This window comes from Homo sapiens, chromosome 2, assembly GCF_000001405.40.
Source record: "Homo sapiens chromosome 2, GRCh38.p14 Primary Assembly".
Lineage (NCBI taxonomy): Eukaryota > Metazoa > Chordata > Mammalia > Primates > Hominidae > Homo > Homo sapiens.
Window position 1 is genome coordinate 69,234,010 of NC_000002.12, and position 16,752 is coordinate 69,250,761.

General features: G+C 42.2%; 1 protein-coding gene across 1 annotated transcript in view; it reads left to right on the forward strand.

Annotated features, from left to right (window-relative positions):
- Positions 1-15,318, forward strand: part of ANTXR1 (ANTXR cell adhesion molecule 1) — a 236,184-nt gene extending 220,866 nt beyond the window's left edge. The window contains exon 18 of the mRNA NM_032208.3: positions 11,216-15,318. Within this exon, the coding sequence (NP_115584.1) occupies positions 11,216-11,476 (261 nt within the window). The 3' untranslated portion in view covers positions 11,477-15,318. The remainder of the gene's footprint in view (positions 1-11,215) is intronic.

The following is a 16,752-nucleotide window of genomic DNA, read 5'->3' on the forward strand; positions in this document are numbered from 1 at the left end:
TGTGCTATTGATGGATGAGAAAACATAAAAATATAAAAGGCCATTTTCTCCAACTTAATTTATGAATTACATTATTCTAAGTTATTGTTTGGAAGAACAATCAGATGAGAATAGTGCAGATAATTTTGAAAAATAATAAAGATAGACTTATAAGATCAATATTACAATATGTTGTGGAACTATAACAGTGGAAACTGCTGCTACAGATATAGAGAGACACATCAGAGAAGTGGAACAGAGATCTGAAAACACAAATGAAAGAACAAGTGAGAATCTGCCATATAAGGCTGGCATTAAATTAGTTGGAAGGTGGTAGATTATTTAACAAATGGTATTTCTAAGTTAGCACAATTGGCTGATTTAGAAAAAGATGAAATAAATTTGAACTTGCACCTCACACCTCATAGCAAAATATATTCCAGATGATAATAGTTAACATTTACTGGGTAATTTTATATGTCAGGCACCATTCAAAGTTATTTATAGTCTGGGCACAGTGACTTATGCCTGTAATCCCAGCACTTTGGGAGGCCAAGGACTCCTGAGGTCAGGAGTTCGAGACCAGCCTGACCAACGTGGTGAAAACCCATCTCTACTAAAAATACAAAATTGGCCAGGTGGTGCACTCCTGTAATCCCAGCTACTTGGGAGGCTGAAGCAGGAGAATCGCTTGAACCTGGGAGACAGAGATTACAGTGAGCTGAGATTGCACCATTGCACTCCAGCCTGGGCAACAAGAGCAAAACTCCGTCTCAAAAATTTAAAAAATTTATTATTTTCATTAATCCTTACAATAATCTCATGAGCTAGGATCAATTATTTAACCCATTTTACAGAAAAGAAAACAGAAGTTAATTAATTTGTCCAAGATAACACAGTAAGTTGCAGAACCAGATCTCTTGAATCCTAGTAGTTTGGCTCTTTAGTCCACATTCTATAAACATTCTATAAACATAGAAAAGTGAAACTATAACATAACTAAAAAAAAAAAAAAAGAATGATGAAAGCTTTTTTTTTTTTTTTTTTTTTTTGAGACGGAGTTTCACTCTTGTTGCCCAGGCTGGAGTGCAATGGCACAATCTTGGCTCACCGCAACCTCCACCTCCTGGGTTCAAGCGATTCTCCTGCCTCAGCCTCCTAAGTAGTTGGGATTACAGGCATGTGCCACCACGCCCAGCTAATTTTGTATTTTTAGTAGAGACAGGGTTTCTCCATGTTGGTCAGGCTGGTCTCAAACTCCCGACTTCAGGTAATCTGCCCATCTTGGCCTCCCAAAGTGCTAGGATTACAGGCATGAGCCACCGTGCCCAGCCCTGATGAAGGCCTTTCTAAGGGATATGAAAAAATAGACTCTATGGGCCAGGGGCAGTGGTTCACGCCTGTAAATCCCAGCACTTTGGGAGACCAAGGCTGGTAGACCATCTGAGCTCAGGAGTTTGAGACCAGCCTGGGCAACATGGTGAAACCCTGTCTCTACCAAATATACAAAACAATTAGCCAGGTGTGGTGGTGCATTCCTGTAGTCCCAGCTACTTGGGAGGCTGAGGTGGGAGGATCACTTGAACCCAGGAGGCAGAGGTTGCAGTGAGCTGAGATCACACCACTGCACTCCAACCTGGGTCACAGAGTGAAACCCCGTCTCAAAAAAAAAAAAAAAAAAAAAAGAATAGACTCTATGGATTGATATAATTGGCTACCCACATAAACTTATTTAACTTCTGTACATCAAAAAATACCATCAGTAAAATTTTAAAAATCACAAACCAAAAAAAAAAAAAAAATAGCTTACATAACCAGTGTATTAGTCTGCTCTCATACTGCTATAAAGAACTACCCAAGACCAGATAATTTATAAAGAAAAGAGGTTTAATTGACTCACAGTTCTGTATGGCTGGGGAGGCCTCAGGAAATTTACAATCATGGCAGAAGGGGAAGCAAATATATCTTACATGGCGACAGGTGAGAAAGCATGTGAGCGAGCACAGGGGAACTGCCCTTTATAAAACCATCAGCTCTCATGAAACATATTCACTATCATGAGAACAGCATGGGGAAAACTGCACCCATAACCCAATCACTTCTCTTTCTCGACACGTGGGGATTACAATTCAAGATGAGATTTGGGTGGGGACACAAAACCTAACCCTATCAACCAGTTTCATCATTACTCTATAAAGAGCTCTTACAAATCAGTAAAAAAGATCAATAAAAAAAGATCAAAACCTCAGTAAAAGTGGGCAAAGTATATGAGCAGACAAATCATATGTAGTGTGTGTGTGTATATATATGTGAGTTTGTGTATATATATGTGTGTATGTGTGAGTGTATATATGTATATGTATACACACATATATCTTTACATATATACACACACATTTTAAAAACTTTCATCTCACAAATAATAAGACAGTGAACAGGGAAACAATAATACAATTCCTTCAGATAGTCAAATTGGCAAAAATTTTTAATTCTAAAACTCTGTAATTGAAAGTGTAGGGAAATAGAAATTCTCATAAAATAGTATTGGAACTATGAATGAATATCACTTTTTCTAGAAGACAGTTTGACAATATATTATCAAAAACTGTTAAAATGTGCATAAACTTTGACCCAGAAATTCTACCTCAAACAATTTGTTCTAAAACAATTGACAGATGTATGAAAATATTTATGGATAAATAGTTTTATCACAGCACTGTTTATAATAGAGACAAATTAGATACACTCTTAATACCCAACAACAAAGAAATTCTTAACTGCATTTGGTGCTTCCATGTGATAGAAGATTATGCAACCATTGAAAATGACAGGGGAGAAATGGTCACAGTAAACTACTTTAAAACTTTCATACAGGATGATCCCATTTTTGTAAATAAATCCACCACTGGGTGTGTGTCTGTGTTCTGTAAAGATAAGCACAAAATATTAATTCTGAATGCTATAATTTAACATTCCCTTCTCCCTTCCTTTTTTTGTGTATTTTTCAAATTTTCAACAAAGAACTGTGTAATCAGATGGAAAAAGGGGATTTTATCATTAAATAAGTCATATCTCAACATTAATTCTTGACAGACCTTGTATTTACACATGTCCCACTAAAGAGATGCCATTTTTATTTCTACCCTTTCCTTCATTTTTCTAGTTTCCTCGTGTTACCAAATATTTCCTGTGTGCTTTCATCTTACCCTCAGTTCTGGCATCCAAAGACATTATTATGGAGAACGTGCCAGTATGTGTGTCAGCAAAATGAATCAATTAAAAGAGTTGACCTTGGATCCCTTTCCATGAACAGCACATAAAAGGCAGGCTATTATGAGATTTATAGGCAGGGCAAGTTTTAAGTGGAGAAAAGGGAGCCGAGAAGGATCAGAGCATCACCACTCACAACACACCCTTCTCTTTGCCCGTGGCTCCAGCTTTGGGGAAGGGGAAGGAGCAAGACAGGGTCTCACTCTGTTGCCCAGGCTGGAATGCACTGCAGCAGTGCCATGATAGCCCATTGCAGCCTCAAACTCTTGGGCATCCTTCTGCCTCAGCCTCCCAAGTAGCTAGGGCTAAAGGCACACACATCAGGCTAATTTTTTTTATTTTTTGTAGATACGGGGTCTCACTGTGTTGCCAGGCTGGTCTCTAACTCCTGGGCTAAAGTGATCCACCTGCGTTGGCCTCCTAAAGTGCTGAGATTACAGGCATGAGCCACCTCACCTGGCCAGAAAGATAACTTTGAATGCATCTGTGTATCTACACATTTTTATATATACAGGTATACATACATTTTATACATACCTCTATCTATACATATGTAGACATGCATATATATGTATGTATATGCACATTTTTATTTATATATATGTGTGTGTGTGCACACGTGTATGAATTTTACATGGAAAGCCAAAATATCAAAGTGAAAGGGAAAGGCTGAAAGCAGGAAGACTGGTTTACTTGGTGGCCAAGTGTTAGAAGATGAGCAACAATGAGGGCAGGGCAGAATGAATGAGTATGAAGGATCTTTATGAAACAGAATCAGAGCTTTCTCTGCTTCTCCCTGACTGTGGCAGAAGATGGCTGCTCCCTCATCCCCAGCTTCCCACTTTACATTCCCTCTATTCAAATGATCAGTCCTGACTAACTAACTACCTGTCACTCAGTGGTCATTCCAAATTCGCAGGAGAGAGAATCTGATTGGTCTAGCTCAGCATAGTTGTCCAATCAACTGGTCCAATCAACTGTGGCCAAGCTCAGGGTCACAGATCACAAATGTGGTTGCTGGGGTCCATTTAACTACTGTCTGTCTTCACCTCTAGACTATATTCTTCATGAGGACAGGGACCTCAACATTTGCTCAATACTGTCTGCAGCACCTTTGAGGACATAGCCGGCACTTAAAACCCATTTGTCAAAAGGATAAATGCATAAATAAATTAACAAATGAAGAGAATCATAGTGTAGAAGGCTAACTATTAAGTCATCCAATCCAGCCATCCATTCATTGTTGATGTGTTTAATTCATCAGTAGAGCACCACCTTCGGCAGGATTATGTCAATTGCCTTCAATATGTCGATGAGGTTTTGTGGTCTAGCCTGAGTTTACAAGAATGATTTAAGTTAGAAACTATGCTCATAATTCCAAACAACTGACTTGGGAAACCTAATTCATTAGTAACTTGAGAAATACCTACAGCCCTCCAAACAAGGTAATCAATGGGAGAACTAGGCCAGAGAGAAAAGGTATTTGTCAGAGGAAACTTGGCATGTATGTTATACTTTTACGATCTAATTATTTTAGTGTTCTTCCTGTGGAATCCATTTTCCTTAGATGACCTCTGTTCATAGGAAACTATTTGGTTTAATCTGTGGAAGCCATAGCATATTTTTAACCATCTCCAAAGTCCAGCTCCCTCTCCACGGAGCGTGCCTGATGCCCAAACAGATGTCTCATAACACAGCACACATGAGCTCACCACTGGCAAGTCTTTTGCACACAATCGGCCCACACCTCTTCTCACATCTCCCTGTCATCCCACAAACCCAAATTCAGAAGTTGCAGGCAAGCTCAAACTCTTACCACAATAATAGAAAAGCAGAAGGCAGACCTCCAATTTTGAAGTTTCAATTTATTAATATTTTTAAAAATCTAATGACCAACCAGAAAAATATGCAATACAAAGCATTAGCCAAACTAATTAGTATAAAGAAATGTGCAAACTGGCTGCCCCAAAAGAATTCAGATTAAATTATCCAAGGAAAAGGTTTCAAAGGAATTCAAATTTTGATGGAGGCCAGGTGCGGTGGCTCACACCTATAATCCCAGCACTTTGGGAGGCCAAGGCTGGCGGATCACCTGAGGTCAGGTGTTCAAGACCAGCCTGGCCAACATAGCGAAACCCCGTCTCTACTAAAAATACAAAAAAAATTAGCCAGGTGTGGTGGCACACGCCTGTAATTCCAGCTACTTGGGAGGCTGAGGCAGAAGAATCGCTTGAACCCAGGAGGCAGAGGTTGTAGTGAGCCGAGATCACTCTCACAGAGTGAGACTCCATCTCAAAAAAAAAATGTTGATGGAATTATAGAATATTAGGGCTGAAAGGCCCTTGAACGTCATCTAGCCGGTACAACTTAATTGGACAGATGAAGAAACCGAAGCCCATAGAGAGAAAGTGACTTGCCCCAGGTTTCACAGTGAGTATGTTAGTGGCAGAACTAGAGGTAGAACTCTGCCTCCTGACTGCAACCCACAAGGCAGACCACAGCCCCCAGCACCAGTGTCCTGTCTCTAAATGCCTCAGACCATCAATGCCTGGAGTTCAAACCCAAGGAAATCCAGAACCTGATCAACAAGATCTTTCATCCTGACCATTTCATCATAACCATTTCAGAATATGTCACCTCCAATTTAGGCAAAGCTTTTTGTTGAGAACAATTTCCTTTAATAAAGCAATCGAAGGTAACCCAAAAAGTATTTTTAGAGGTAACATTAACCTTTCAAGTGTGGAAGCCAAGGGAAGTACATAGGATTCTTGCTATCCTTTCTCCAAGAACCTAGGAGATGTCCAAGGAGACCATGGGGAGGTGACTGAGAAGCCCTAAACTCATAGCTGTGTTCCTGGATCCTTGACCTTTGGAGAGCTTAAACCTGCAGGGAAAAATCAGAGCTTTCTAAGACATCTTGCTGCACCTCGGAGCTCCGGTGTGTGAGCAGTACTTGTTGAGTGCCAACTTGAATGTTGGGCTCTTTAGAGCAACACTAGGCTCCACAGGAGAAGCCCTTGAGGGTGCCTCAGAGGTGCTCACCAACCAGTTAAGGAGCAATGTTTCTAATGGGAAACATTTAGAGTAGGGTTCCACATGGCAAATTATATTCCTCATTGAACAAATATTTGTGGAGGGCATAGGGTGGACCAAGCTGGACATCTTGCAAGAAAAGAGTAAGACATCAATTGAAAGCCATAAGCACGCACCAGATCCCAAAGGGCTGTGTATGCCAGTGGAGGTGTTTGGCTTTTATTTTAAAGGTGATGGGGAATCACTGAAGAATTTTGAGCTGGAGAGTGAATTGACCAGACTTAGGTTCGGGAACAATCGTTTGACTATGTCAAGAGCTGCTGGATTGTGGTCAAGTGCTACACTGTGTGATGCTATCTACAAGTCTTTCAAGAAATCATTTGCACTTTTAGTCTATATTCAGGAATACAGTATAAAGAGGATGAGTTCCTGAGGCAAACAGAGCTGGGTTTTAATCCCACTCTGCCACTTACTGGCTGTGTAGTCTCGAGCAAGTTATTTAAATAGGTGTGAGACTTTAGTTTTTTTTCTGTACAATGAAAATACTGATACATAACTGACAGAGTTTTGATGATAAGTAAAGACACTAATGTACCTGGACGTTTCAAATAGTCCTCCCACCACCATTAGATACACCCAAATCAAAATGGCACTTTCAAGCCTAGGAGGAAGGCCAGCTGGCATCCTAAGCCTTCATTTAGCTGGAGATATTGTTGCATTTTCTTCTTAGAATTTAATCTGAGAAATTTTTGCTAATGTGTGAAAATAATTGGCATTCATTCCTGTAAATGAGGATGCTGAGGTAAACTGAGGTCAAAGCCAAATCTTGGATCGGAATCAAACCACCCAAAACCAATACTGTGGAAAATAAAACTGGGTCACAAAGACCAGTGTTATGAAGCGAGAGTTCCAATCGTCCTAGCAACCTTTTAACCAAACACTGGTGCAGATTTGCTGGCCTACATGACGGTGAGAACATCTGGCCTTTCTATTATCCTCTTGCAAGCAAAAAACGATGTTGTGTAAACTGATCTTTAGGCCAATTATATGGTCTAAATGTTACCGTGTTTATGCTGGCACCTCTGACTCCAGGTTTTAAGAACTTATTGTAACCACACCCCTCTTACAAAGACTGTGGGTCTTACTGTATATTACCCCAGGGATTTATTGATGCCGAGTCTGCACCTTTTTTCAGGAAGATAAATTCAACATCAGTCAAATTGTGTGCAGTGCACTGTGGGAGGTCCTATAAGAAATAAGTTACAGGACTTGGTGGCAACAGGAGGAGAGAACAAACATAAGAGTGCAGGCTCTAGGGGCTGCTTTGTTTTTCCCTACAATTTTGCTACATTTTTTCCTATTTACCAGTTGTATTATAGAAGCCAGATGTGGAGTATAGAAGCTCTAGTCTGCAGCTCACTCAGAAGACACTAAACTAGGAGTTGGAACACCTGATACCACCTCCAACTGGCCTTTCCACCACAGACAGGGTCTGATTGTGTCTGCGCATCCCCACCTGCAGAGAGACAGCATTAGACTACTAAACACAATGCGCCAGGCACTGTTCCAAGCCCTTCATAACACTGATTAAGGGAGTCCTCCTAATACCTGTAAGTGACAGGCGGTATGATTACCCCCACTTCACATCACACTGTGGGGTGTCCCACAGTGGGGGCCACGCAGAAGCTCTGAGCTTGCCCCTCCCCTCTGGCTGCTCGATGAGAGCTCTGGGCTTTTGTGCTCAGCTCTAAAGGACCAGGTGGTGGGGAGTGAGGGGAGGGTCTATAATGAACCACAGCACAATGCTCTGGATTAGGTGACCCATGGGCGTACCCCTAGGGTGTTACTGACCAGAGGAAGGAGGACTCTTTGCCTCCACCATCACCATTTTACCCCACCCCATCTCCATCCCTCTGCTGCTCTGGCCAAGACACCACGGCGGCAGCTGGAAGTGCTGACCTCAGGTCTTCCTCCCCACCTCACTCCCCCACAGCCCCCACTGCCCTCTTTCATCCCATCTTCAGGGGACAGATGTGAGAGACCATCTTTTAGTCTGTGGATGCTTTCAACTTTTTTGAAAACCCCTGGGAATCCTAACATGGATTATGAACAGAGATATTGGCAGAAGAAGGCTGGGAGCTCCCGATTTTGTCTCTGGACAAAACAGCCTCTGGTAAAAACAGTAGAGTGACTTATTTCAATTGAAGAGAATAAGTACATGAGCTTCCGGATTCATTAATTAATTAGCCTCCCCTCTCGGCCAGCCTGGTGGCCAGCTCTAGAAGACATCTGAAGCCAGATGAGCACTCAACCCCAGGCACCAGCAGCTCCTTCCCCAGGATGAGGGTTTCCCTTCATCTTTCAAGGACATGAATCTCTTGAGCCTCTCTGTCTGACTTTGCATGTCTAGGAACGAAGGGCAGAACAGATAGCACAGTAAATCCCAGCTCTAAATTGTCGTCATGGGAATTCATCACAGATGGTAATCATTAGGGCCCTCACATCTTAAAGGAAAGCTTTATCCAGAATCATAAATAAACTGTAACCAAGGCTTAGATTTATAAAGCTATAAAAGAGGGCAGCTTGAACAGCCGGGAATGTACAGTACTGGGTTACAAAATCGGCATCATGCCTGAAAGGCTGGACATAAACCCGGGAGCTCTGGGCAGTGCAGCGAGGAGGGGGTAAATTCTTTCTGCAGTGGGTGGAACCCCAGTCACAGCCTCCCCGGCTTAGCACCTGGTTTAATCACATGAAATGCAAGCTCAGAGAAACAGGGGTGCTGGCATCTAAACATAGCATTGCAACTCCTAAACCAATTGCAGTCCCATCAAGTTTGGCCCTTCCTCACCAAGATGCCCTCTGACTAATGCTATGTCCTAGGAATTAATTTTCACTTTATTGCTAAGGTTTCCCACCCCCTACTTTTCCTGAGTGGCTCAAACAACTCCGTTTTTACCAAAAGTCCCTGTACCATGCAGAACACCCTGTGAGGCTGTGAGTTGTGGAGCAGCAAAGCACAAAACAAGGCTGCAGCCTTCCAGAAGTTTCTTGTCTGGCCAGGGAGGCAAGGCATTTACAGATGAAACAACTGTAGTATGCAGGCTGCAATGTGTGGTGTAGGCTGTAACTAGAGAACTCAAGGAAGCAAAGGGTAAGTGGAGGCTGGAGTCACTGTGGGGGAAATGTTTGGGGGAAAAGGGACATGATTTATGACTTGAAGGATGCACAGGGCTGTGCACAAGGAGGGAAGGTTTGCTCAGCATGTGGCTTGTCCCTTCTGTGGCCCATCCTGAGCCAAGTCTCTAATAGCACACTCTCATTTTCCTCTTGTCCTAGAGCTAATTTAAGCAGCAATTGTTCCCCAAATTCCACACCTCACCCTCTTCATTCTCATTCAAGCTCATCCCTAAAAGGCCTGGAAAGGGAAACTCTGTGCTCTCTGGACATATCTCGTTCAGGCTGGACACCACAGGATAACTTCCATCCTGGAGCATGTGGCCAGGAACAATTCCACACCCCAGCCCCAGGCCCAGCATAGAGGGCAGCCTCAGAGAGGAGCAACCCCACCTCAGCCGCTGTGGGGAGCAATTCTGTAGGCATCCAGACATGCCAGAGAGAGAACAATAAGATACCCCACAGGCATGGGAAGTGAGGGAGGCCAGGAGCCCTCAGAGGGGTGGGTACCCACCCAGGCAAGTGGCCAAGCGAAGAGAGCTCACGCCAGCATGGAACATGGTGAGCAGGAGAACCCCTGTCTCCCCTCCGTTGCAGAGCTGAGTGTTGCACAGAAGTTCCTGAGTACCAGATGAGACTAGTGGGTATCTACTGGGGGACAGAGAAAGCATGCCTGTGACTCTGGAGAGCAGAGCAGATACTATAGGGGAGACAGGGCTACTTAAGGCTGGCTTTGGACGCTGACTTTCAGGAGGCTGCTTTAAGGGGTTCCAGGGTCTTCTCTGCATTGTTCAGTTGAGTACCCAAGAAGGGTAGGAGAAAAGCAGAATTCAGGGCAGATGCCTGCTTGGCAATAGAATGTCCCCAGGTTGTATTTCTTAAGGTACACAGGTTGTCAGTTCCTGTGACAACAACTAAGGCTACCTGCACAGGTGCAGCCGCGTGTAGAAGAGGGATTCCCACAGCCAGAACAAGGGCAGGACAAACTGTTTATTATTTACTAGCACTTTGGAGAAGGCAAGGCGTGGATGAGGAAGCTGTATTGATCACATCAGTAGAGATAGCTGCCTCCTTCATTCATTACCGGGAACAAGTGTTTGAGGGGGCACAGACGAGGTAAATGCATCAGGGCCTCCATGACAACTCCAATCACAGAATCTAGCTACATCCTTGAATTACAATATAGGAGAAGCTCGTGGTGTTAACCTTCTGCCATTTCCAGGCATGTAACTGAACTAATCAAAATAAATTACTTTTGTTTATGAAATATGAGGATCCCTTCCAGAAGGCAAAGTAGCAGCAGGAAGAATAATTCTGGAGTCTATTTTGGGTTAGAATCACCAACCCCATCTCTTCCTAGTTGTGTGGCCTTGAAAAAGTAACTCCGCTTTTCTGAACCTCTGCTTCCTCATCTGTGCAGTGGAACAGCTAATAATACCCGGTTAGCAGGGCTGTTGAGGAGATTCAGTTTAATGACCTCTGTACACAGCACCCAGTTAAGGTCAGTCTCATTCCCTTTCTCCCACTTGAGAGAGTTAGACTCCAGGAAAAGATGAATTTTAACAGTTTTGCAACACAGTCCAGGAAAAGGAAGTGGGGAGCTCACTTGTCCTCAAGTTCTACTATGTGCCACTAGAGAGTTGTCACCAACAGGGGCCAGCTTTCCACATATTGCTTGCAAGCCGCCCACCACAGCACCACAGGCCCTGATGTGAGGCCGTCCGCTCACGTTTCCTTCTCTCCAATTCTTTTCTAGGGGCGCTGCATCAACTTCACCAGGGTCAAGAACAACCAGCCAGCCAAGTACCCACTCAACAACGCCTACCACACCTCCTCGCCGCCTCCTGCCCCCATCTACACTCCCCCACCTCCTGCGCCCCACTGCCCTCCCCCGCCCCCCAGCGCCCCTACCCCTCCCATCCCGTCCCCACCTTCCACCCTTCCCCCTCCTCCCCAGGCTCCACCTCCCAACAGGGCACCTCCTCCCTCCCGCCCTCCTCCAAGGCCTTCTGTCTAGAGCCCAAAGTTCCTGCTCTGGGCTCTCTCAGAAACTTCAGGAGATGTTAGAACAAGTCTTTCCAGTTAGAGAAGAGGAGTGGTGATAAAGCCCACTGACCTTCACACATTCTAAAAATTGGTTGGCAATGCCAGTATACCAACAATCATGATCAGCTGAAAGAAACAGATATTTTAAATTGCCAGAAAACAAATGATGAGGCAACTACAGTCAGATTTATAGCCAGCCATCTATCACCTCTAGAAGGTTCCAGAGACAGTGAAACTGCAAGATGCTCTCAACAGGATTATGTCTCATGGAGACCAGTAAGAAAATCATTTATCTGAAGGTGAAATGCAGAGTTGGATAAGAAATACATTGCTGGGTTTCTAAAATGCTGCCTTCCTGCCTCTACTCCACCTCCATCCCTGGACTTTGGACCCTTGGCCTAGGAGCCTAAGGACCTTCACCCCTGTGCACCACCCAAGAAAGAGGAAAACTTTGCCTACAACTTTGGAAATGCTGGGGTCCCTGGTGTGGTAAGAAACTCAACATCAGACGGGTATGCAGAAGGATGTTCTTCTGGGATTTGCAGGTACATAAAAAATGTATGGCATCTTTTCCTTGCAAATTCTTCCAGTTTCCAAGTGAGAAGGGGAGCAGGTGTTTACTGATGGAAAAGGTATGTTGCTATGTTGATGTGTAAGTGAAATCAGTTGTGTGCAATAGACAGGGGCGTATTCATGGGAGCATCAGCCAGTTTCTAAAACCCACAGGCCATCAGCAGCTAGAGGTGGCTGGCTTTGGCCAGACATGGACCCTAAATCAACAGACAATGGCATTGTCGAAGAGCAACCTGTTAATGAATCATGTTAAAAATCAAGGTTTGGCTTCAGTTTAAATCACTTGAGGTATGAAGTTTATCCTGTTTTCCAGAGATAAACATAAGTTGATCTTCCCAAAATACCATCATTAGGACCTATCACACAATATCACTAGTTTTTTTTGTTTGTTTGTTTTTTGTTTTTTTTCTTGGTAAAGCCATGCACCACAGACTTCTGGGCAGAGCTGAGAGACAATGGTCCTGACATAATAAGGATCTTTGATTAACCCCCATAAGGCATGTGTGTGTATACAAATATACTTCTCTTTGGCTTTTCGACATAGAACCTCAGCTGTTAACCAAGGGGAAATACATCAGATCTGCAACACAGAAATGCTCTGCCTGAAATTTCCACCATGCCTAGGACTCACCCCATTTATCCAGGTCTTTCTGGATCTGTTTAATCAATAAGCCCTATAATCACTTGCTAAACACTGGGCTTCATCACCCAGGGATAAAAACAGAGATCATTGTCTTGGACCTCCTGCATCAGCCTATTCAAAATTATCTCTCTCTCTAGCTTTCCACAAATCCTAAAATTCCTGTCCCAAGCCACCCAAATTCTCAGATCTTTTCTGGAACAAGGCAGAATATAAAATAAATATACATTTAGTGGCTTGGGCTATGGTCTCCAAAGATCCTTCAAAAATACATCAAGCCAGCTTCATTCACTCACTTTACTTAGAACAGAGATATAAGGGCCTGGGATGCATTTATTTTATCAATACCAATTTTTGTGGCCATGGCAGACATTGCTAATCAATCACAGCACTATTTCCTATTAAGCCCACTGATTTCTTCACAATCCTTCTCAAATTACAATTCCAAAGAGCCGCCACTCAACAGTCAGATGAACCCAACAGTCAGATGAGAGAAATGAACCCTACTTGCTATCTCTATCTTAGAAAGCAAAAACAAACAGGAGTTTCCAGGGAGAATGGGAAAGCCAGGGGGCATAAAAGGTACAGTCAGGGGAAAATAGATCTAGGCAGAGTGCCTTAGTCAGGGACCACGGGCGCTGAATCTGCAGTGCCAACACCAAACTGACACATCTCCAGGTGTACCTCCAACCCTAGCCTTCTCCCACAGCTGCCTACAACAGAGTCTCCCAGCCTTCTCAGAGAGCTAAAACCAGAAATTTCCAGACTCATGAAAGCAACCCCCCAGCCTCTCCCCAACCCTGCCGCATTGTCTAATTTTTAGAACACTAGGCTTCTTCTTTCATGTAGTTCCTCATAAGCAGGGGCCAGAATATCTCAGCCACCTGCAGTGACATTGCTGGACCCCTGAAAACCATTCCATAGGAGAATGGGTTCCCCAGGCTCACAGTGTAGAGACATTGAGCCCATCACAACTGTTTTGACTGCTGGCAGTCTAAAACAGTCCACCCACCCCATGGCACTGCCGCGTGATTCCCGCGGCCATTCAGAAGTTCAAGCCGAGATGCTGACGTTGCTGAGCAACGAGATGGTGAGCATCAGTGCAAATGCACCATTCAGCACATCAGTCATATGCCCAGTGCAGTTACAAGATGTTGTTTCGGCAAAGCATTTTGATGGAATAGGGAACTGCAAATGTATGATGATTTTGAAAAGGCTCAGCAGGATTTGTTCTTAAACCGACTCAGTGTGTCATCCCCGGTTATTTAGAATTACAGTTAAGAAGGAGAAACTTCTATAAGACTGTATGAACAAGGTGATATCTTCATAGTGGGCTATTACAGGCAGGAAAATGTTTTAACTGGTTTACAAAATCCATCAATACTTGTGTCATTCCCTGTAAAAGGCAGGAGACATGTGATTATGATCAGGAAACTGCACAAAATTATTGTTTTCAGCCCCCGTGTTATTGTCCTTTTGAACTGTTTTTTTTTTTATTAAAGCCAAATTTGTGTTGTATATATTCGTATTCCATGTGTTAGATGGAAGCATTTCCTATCCAGTGTGAATAAAAAGAACAGTTGTAGTAAATTATTATAAAGCCGATGATATTTCATGGCAGGTTATTCTACCAAGCTGTGCTTGTTGGTTTTTCCCATGACTGTATTGCTTTTATAAATGTACAAATAGTTACTGAAATGACGAGACCCTTGTTTGCACAGCATTAATAAGAACCTTGATAAGAACCATATTCTGTTGACAGCCAGCTCACAGTTTCTTGCCTGAAGCTTGGTGCACCCTCCAGTGAGACACAAGATCTCTCTTTTACCAAAGTTGAGAACAGAGCTGGTGGATTAATTAATAGTCTTCGATATCTGGCCATGGGTAACCTCATTGTAACTATCATCAGAATGGGCAGAGATGATCTTGAAGTGTCACATACACTAAAGTCCAAACACTATGTCAGATGGGGGTAAAATCCATTAAAGAACAGGAAAAAATAATTATAAGATGATAAGCAAATGTTTCAGCCCAATGTCAACCCAGTTAAAAAAAAAATTAATGCTGTGTAAAATGGTTGAATTAGTTTGCAAACTATATAAAGACATATGCAGTAAAAAGTCTGTTAATGCACATCCTGTGGGAATGGAGTGTTCTAACCAATTGCCTTTTCTTGTTATCTGAGCTCTCCTATATTATCATACTCAGATAACCAAATTAAAAGAATTAGAATATGATTTTTAATACACTTAACATTAAACTCTTCTAACTTTCTTCTTTCTGTGATAATTCAGAAGATAGTTATGGATCTTCAATGCCTCTGAGTCATTGTTATAAAAAATCAGTTATCACTATACCATGCTATAGGAGACTGGGCAAAACCTGTACAATGACAACCCTGGAAGTTGCTTTTTTTAAAAAAATAATAAATTTCTTAAATCAACTCTTTTTTCTGGTTGTCTGTTTGTTATAAAGTGCAACGTATTCAAGTCCTCAATATCCTGATCATAATACCATGCTATAGGAGACTGGGCAAAACCTGTACAATGACAACCCTGGAAGTTGCTTTTTTAAAAAAAATAATAAATTTCTTAAATCAACTCTTTTTTCTGGTTATTTGTCTGTTTGTTATAAAGTGCGACGTATTCAAGTTCTCAATATCCTGATCATAATACAGTGGTTGCTGTGCTATACATTAAATTACATTTCTCAAATGATTTCATGCCTTCCACTAATTTCTCTACTGTCTGGATTACTGTCATTTCTTCCTTAGCTGTCAGACATTCAAAATATTTTTTATTTCTCATAACAAATTTCAAATTAAAAATGTAATCCATGCTAAGAGAAAATAAGTAAAAAGTGAAAACAGAACACACAGGAAAAATATACTGCATCAGTTAGGATTGTGTTTGGCTAACGTAGCAGAAAGGCAACTAGGATTGATTTTACAAGGAGTCCAGAGATTTGCAGCAACCCAAGAACCAGACAGTGTTGTGGACAGTGCTGCAATAAATACCTTTCTATGTACATCTCAAAATCTTTGTATTGCTTCTGCATTTCTGATACAACTCACTTTATCCCTCCTAGCAGTTTTAATTCAGCTCCTCCATTTATTTTGTAGGTAGAAGAGCATCTCCTTCTAGTTCCTGAATTTCTTTGTAAGATCTCATTGAGCCTTGAATACATCTTAATTGGAATAAAACCATCCACAAACAGAAAGTCATGCCACAAGTCTTTTCTAAGTTTTCATTAGTATTTGCTTTTTAATAGGTATGGGTATGAACACATTTTAAAATTATATCTTTAATAATTGTGTTTTGGGGGTTATTTTGAGACAGGATCTTACTCTGTCACCCAGGCTGGAGTGCAGTGATGCAATCATGGTTTACTGCAGCCTCAAACCCCTAGGCTCAAGCAATTCTCCCGCTTCACCTTCCCAAGTAGCTGGGACTATGGGCATATGCCACCACACCTGGCTAGTGTGTGTGTGTGTGTGTGTGTGTGTGTGTGTGTGTGTGTGGATTTTTTGTTTGTTTATTTTTAGAGATAGGGTCTCACTGTGTTGCCCAGGCTGGTCTCAAACTCCTGGCCTCAAGTGATCCTCCTGCCTCAGACTCCCAATCGTAAATGGTTTTGAGATAATGGGTTAGAAATTTGAAAAGAAACAGGAAAAGCTGGAGCCCTACCTCACTCCTTACACCAAAATAAATTCTAACTGAATTTAAGTGTAACAAATAAAGCTAGAAAAGTACTAGAATTGTGAAAAAAGTTTTCTGTGTGGTATAAAGAATGTTAAAATCCTACATATTGTTTGCATGATCAATCAACTTTGTCATGAAATTGCTTGAAATAACCCTGAGTAATGATCCAATGCATTAAGTTGAACAAAGGAACCATTAATAACGGGAATAAGATCATTTATCAGGTGCTAACTGTGAACATGAATTTGAGATCCACCGTTTTTCACTAATCTGTCTTCAGATAAATCTGTTTTGTGGAGTATCACTTAGATACAAAACAATCAGAATAATACT